At 33.7% G+C, this 6,340-nt stretch overlaps 1 annotated feature.

The window, feature by feature from the left end:
• Positions 650-1,849: an enhancer, noted in NCBI's record as "CDK7 strongly-dependent group 2 enhancer chr12:84189628-84190827 (GRCh37/hg19 assembly coordinates)". NCBI's record gives its function as "activates an origin of replication core promoter dependent on BRD2, BRD4, P300/CBP, MED14 and CDK7 cofactors, with strong dependence on CDK7, by STARR-seq in HCT116 cells {active_cell/tissue: HCT116}" and the evidence as "EXISTENCE:reporter gene assay evidence [ECO:0000049][PMID:35650434]".

Genomic DNA, 6,340 nt, shown 5'->3' on the forward strand with positions numbered 1-6,340 from the left:
AGGTATTTTTTTTTTTTGGATATTCTTCCTGTCTCTAGACTTAGAATTGGCCCATTTCTTTTTCTGTATAATTTTGGGAGTTAGCAAAGGCTACATAATTTACAAAGTACAGTGCAAAATATGTGGCACACTTGTTCAAAAAGCAAAAACAAAATGTGCAGTTAATGTATTAAAACATAAAAATTTTTCTTTAAATATATATATCAGCATTTGTAAAATGTAATGAGATAGTAATGGTATATGAATAACCATAAACGTACAAATTGCCACCTTGAACTTTGGTATATTTATTGAACTCACTGTCTACCTCCTCCTAACCGGGAAACTTTGCTCAACTTCTCTGTATTTTTCTCTTCTTTTGGCTAGTATATACTTATCTTCTAATTTGCTGTTAAAATATCACTTCCTCAGGAAACTCATATTTTGCTTTATACAATAATTGTTTACTTTTTATTCAGTCACATATTATATATTTATGTAATTCTTTATGTAATTATTTAATGTCTTTTACCCTACTGGATTATAATCTTCAGGAGGACACTGAACACATTACTTTGTTGAAGATAATTGAGATATGCATCTGACAATGACATTTATTTAATTTTACTCTCAGCCCAGACAAAAATGTTGAATGGTAAGTAGCCTCACCTTCTCCAAGAGAGAAAGACCAAATTATTGGCATTAGATTAGTGAAACCACTGAAATATGAGTAATGTCATGGCAGAAGTGTTGATTACTCTGGAGGTAAAGGAGTATCATTAGTGAATTCTGTAACCATTGCTCTGGAAAAGACACTGTGGACGTTCGCAGTTGGCTTTGTGAGCAAAAGTATAATGTCCTCAGCTACAGGTAAAGATTCCAGGAAATCAAGTGGCCAGGAGAAACGTCCAAGTTGTAAAATTAAAATTGAGAGTTTATGAAAAACTAGAATTTATTGAACAGGAAATTTGGGATATATACTTCTTCTCTGCTCATTAAAAATACATAGGAGTAAAACAACTGGGTCGGTTGGTTTATACAAGCCTTTTAAAAGTAATTAATCCATTGAAGTTGAGTCTATTACAATGATTATGACTATGGAACTTACATAGAAAGATTCCCAGTAATTTCTATAGCCACTATAAGTTGCTGCAAATGCATGTGATAATTTTTAAGTATTGGAGATTCAATGATTATTTGAAAAGAAATTATTGTTTGACTGTTTTTTTTTCTTTTTGGTACTATTATCACATTTATTGCTACATTATTTTACAGAAACAAAACAAACAAGTCTCAAAGCAGCGGAAGATCTTGAAATGGTTTAAATTTAGAGCATCTAAGAATAAAAAGGTTAAGCCTTTCTCTTGCCGACTACTCAGATCTAAAAAACTACAAAACAAAGGCCTTGATTTCTGATCCTGTCCTTTTATAATTAAAATAAAAGAGAGAGAGCTGTATAAAAGAAATTCCTTTTTTCCCAAGTCACTTTTTGATCTCCTTTCATCTTTGCCTCTGCTCTGCCCTCAGGTATTTTAGAGACGCTTCAATAAAAGTGTGCATTCCTGTTGAGTGTTTCCTTAAATGCCACGCAGCTCTGGGACTGACTAAGGGAATCTCTGCTTCACAAGTTTACCCCTTACCAAGTGATGAAAACAATTGCAGAATTAATTCCTGAGGCCAATGAATCAAGAAATTGGACAGCCTGCAGCTCTCTTTCTAGCTTACAAAACAAAACAGTAATTTATCTTGAGTAATTAGGACCTTCTGATTTTTAGCATTTTTTTCCTATTTCCTTAGCTGCTCTATTGTTTACCACATTGAAATTATATTTGTTTCCTAGTTACACGGATTTGATTTTTCCTACAACTTTAGGAGGGTCATCTACAGCTATGCTAATTTGATAATGTAATTATTGATATGCTTTGAAATTTTGTGATATGGCATTTGCAGTTAGGTTCATTTTAATTTTATCAACTCTGTTATGTTTATAATTTAATTATTTTATTTTCCAGTGTCAGCTTTTCAGTCTCATGTAATACTATCAAAGACAGAGGTGCAGAGTTGGTCTTTGGATGTAAGGGATGTAAGTGTTTGCTGCCAGAGTCATGACTTATCTTTTTATTAGAGAAAGGACTCACGCTAGTCTCCATAAAAGTGATTTAGGATATTCTGAAAATAATATTGCTATGTATCAGCATATCTTGATCTCTAAATCATAGGATTGAAAGAAATTTCAGAGTTTGGGTGACCATATTTTTTTCCCTGAAATTGTCCAGGTTTACAATCATTGCGCATGATAATCATTAATTTTGTTCCTGTTCACTCTCTTTCGCTTTTCTCAGTCAAAATGAGAAATTGTCACTCTATCCCTATGTCATTTCTTCCCTTCTCCCACTTTTCAGGGATCTCTTCTGTGGCATAATTGACAGATAAACTTTTGCTTGAAAACTTGTAGAGATATATATCCCTACTTGCATAGAGTAGCCTGTCTTCCTATATAGTTCCATTTGCACTTATTTCTTCTATTGAGATTGTGTTAAACTAACATTTGTTAGGTTTGGTTTTAGAAGAAAGCAAGTACTTGAAAGAGTGAATAAAGCCACAGAAAGAAAATTGTGGTATCTCTTTGACACTTTAAAATTCATTTTCCTATATGATCCTAAAAAATTGGGCATATTGCAATAAGCAATTTTCATATAGATAGAAGGCATCTGCTTCTCAAAATTGTTACATGTATTCACTGCATTATTAAAATACAGTGGCTGCTTAGCATGGCTTGCTTTAACCTAACAAGAATTTCTTCATTGGTCATAAATATTTATAGACTGTGGAATTCTTCTGAAACTATATTTTTAGTAATACATCAAAAACAATAATAAATAGATGTTACATATAATGTGATATTTGATTGCCAAAACATTATCTATAACAAGAACAAAGAACTAAATCGCCATTGGTGTTTTCAAATGTTTTAAAGATTTGTAAATATTCTTTGATGAACATAATGCCAGAGATCCATGTTCACTTAAAAAGAAAATCAGAAAAACAACATATGCAAGCATTATTTAATAAGGTTTTTGTTCTAAGTTCATACTTTTCACAATATTAAAAAACTTTAGAAAAATAATTTATGATTATATTTCCAGTGAATTACATGGAGTATTTTAGAATTCTAAATTTAGATGCCACTGTGTCCATTGAATAACCTTTTTTTTTGTATAGTGGTAAAATTATAATATATAGTGTGGCTCATAAGGACAACTTCCGAAAGGGTGACCACCCTTTAGACTTTAACCTTGACCACAGTAAATTCTTTCTACTATTATCACTGGCTGTTTTCACAGATTTGCAGTTTTAATAATCTAGTTGTCCTCAACTCTTTCAACAATGATGGGATCACTAATTCATCCTTCCATGTTTTCATAAATTTTACCAACTACAAGGAAAGACTGCATAATGATTTTAAATAATTGTTTGTCATAAAAAATACAGTCATCACTCTGAGGAACATATTTGACATTATGTTTTATTTTTGTTTTTGCACATGGTCAAACATTGAGAATTCAACATAATTTTAAAAAGGGGGCTTTCACAATATAGGCTTCTAGTGGACTTTTTATGACAAATAAATTGTTCAAAACTAAAAATATCAAAATTGAATGTCTAGGAGATTTAAACGTTGTAAAGATAAATCTAGGATTTAAAAAAATCTCGTTTATCCACATTATTTGTGGATTTCTTTAAGCATTCTCCTTTCTCTTCCATCTTTACCACTTTCACTCATTTTTGTGCCTACCATAGTCACAGGACAGAGGAGGTAAAATTTAAACACTGTGTGTATAATTTAGCTACATCATATGTTAGTTAAAATATAAATGTATATGAAGGAAGATATTTTTGTTTTTTTGTTTATTCCTGTATTCCTACCACCCAAATCTATTCCTAGCATGTGAAAAATGCTCAGTGACTTCTATTTAAGTGAATAAATAAATGTATAATTTTCTAAATCAAAATTTGCATTTGGGTAAAAAATTATACTACTTTCTTTGGCATTTCTCCAGAGAAAAGTTATATAAACTGCTTATATATATATAACATGTACATATATTTATTTATATGTATGTACTACTTGTATATAAAAATATTTCTTATAAATTAAAAAAACCCTGTCTGATTAAATTTACATTCCTGCTTATTCTGCTTTCACTCCCATGCTGCTGTAAACGGTTAGAATAAAAGCCCTTCAAAGTATGCTGTTTTAGTGGATTTCTCCCAAAGCAGAACCTGAGACATTTCATGTCACTCCTGTCTTTATTGTAGCCCTTCTATTACCATATTTTCTACATCTCTTGGCCTTCTTTCACTCCTCCCCAGCCATACTAACCAACTTGATGTTCTTCAGGAACAGTAAGCTCTTTTCTGTGATGGTGCCTTCCACTTGCATCTTTAGGTCCAGAATGCTTTCTCTCCAGATATTTTCATGGCTTCCTCTTTCACTGCACTGAGGCCCTGCTCAATGCCCCTTTTCAGAAGAGCCTTCCCTGACCACTCCGTTTAAAATGGTATCCTCTCCCTTACTATTTATTAGCCTTTTAGCTTTATTTAATTTTTCTTCCTAGCATGCATTACCTGACTTCTTTTTATACTTGCTAGTTGTTTGTTCTCTTACTATAACGTAGGCACCACTAGACAACGGTCTTTGTTTTTTCTTTCACCACTGTGTACCTAGCAGCATATAGTTATAATAGTACGTGGAACATAGTAAGCACTCAGTGATTGTTGAATACATGAAAATTTTAATTCTAGTAACTCTATATTACTACAATCTTTTGTTTCACCTTTCACAGACATTTAATGTCTAGATATAATATCAACTTTAAAAAGCAAATTGGGTATGTGACATGAGTGATTATAGTACAAAACAGTAAGAAGACAAGTGTTATGTCCAAAATAATTTAACAAAGAAGGTGGGGAGCCAACTTTACCATAGACTTTGAACTTTCTCCTCAATGTGATGTTTGTATTCCAGGTGTTTCATGAGCTCCAGTAAAACCAAAACTGTCCACGACTGATAGTCAAATAATCTCTTTCGGAGAACAGAAGGACAGGCCTAATTCAGAGTGACAAATTCAGTTTGCTAATCACTGTCTTTGAGATATTATCAAACAAATATCTCTGCATGTAGTATCAGGTGATTGTTCTATAGACTTTGGCTTTATAAAGTGGAATGGAAATAATTAACACATGTTTTTTCAGGAACTTGGTTCTTTGCTTTGCCTTCCCTGTTCCCCTAATTTCCTCCTCCTCCCTATTTCCCCATTCCCTTCTCCCACCTTGTTCCTCTATTCCAGGCTCCCCGTCTCTTTTTTGCCTTACCCATGCGTGGAAATATTCCAGTACTTAGCCTTAATTAACCGACAGACAATATAGGGTTGGAATGAATTATGTGGAGCCTGGAGATCAACTCTGTGAATGTACATATGCATTACATGGCTTGCTATTTTTTTTTTTTTTTTTTTTTTTTGAGACGGAGTCTTGCTCTGTCGCCCAGGCTGTGGAGTGCAGTGGCGCAATCTCGGCTCACAGCCAGCTCCGCCTCCCAGTTTCACGCCATTCTCCTGCCTCAGCCTCTCGAGTAGCTGGGACTACAGGCACCCGCCACCACGCCCGGCTAATTTTTTTTGTATTTTTAGTAGATACGGGGTTTCACTGTGTTAGCCAGGATGGTCTCGATCTCATGACCTCGTGATCCACCCCCCTCGGCCTCCCAAAGTCCCGAGATTACAGGTGTGAGCCACCGCGCCCAGCCGGCTTGCTATTTTTATATATTTTTTTTTCCCTAAGAAATTGCTTAACTTATCTGTACTTGAAATTAGTCAATACTCAGCATGGAGTCCTTCCATCACAGCATCTGAAACACTGGAAGCTTGTTAGCAAGGAGCTCCCTTGAGGTCTACTGAATCAGAATCTGCATTTTTGCAAGATCCCCTGGTGGTTTGTGTGTATATTAAAATGTGAGACGTACTGGTAGTATATGTAAAACACAACAGTATTTATGTAAAACACGCCCTCCCTAAAGGCTATTCCTTCTAATTTTCCTAACAAAAATATGGATAGGGAAAAATATGTAGTATTTTATAGAAATCAATTCGATCAAAGCTATCGTGTATATATTTTTTCTTAAACTCAGTGATAAGAATATTCAAAATTGTTTCCTTATTTATATATCATTATTTACACTAAAGTTATGCAACTTGAGGTTTTATTTGTGGATGTGTCTAGTTAGAGGGAAGAAGGGAGAGAAGGAGAGGAAAAGGAAAAATATATTTTTGAGACCTCACAGTTGGTAAGGGAAAAAAAA

This window comes from Homo sapiens, chromosome 12 (genome assembly GCF_000001405.40).
Source record: "Homo sapiens chromosome 12, GRCh38.p14 Primary Assembly".
Classification (NCBI taxonomy): domain Eukaryota; kingdom Metazoa; phylum Chordata; class Mammalia; order Primates; family Hominidae; genus Homo; species Homo sapiens.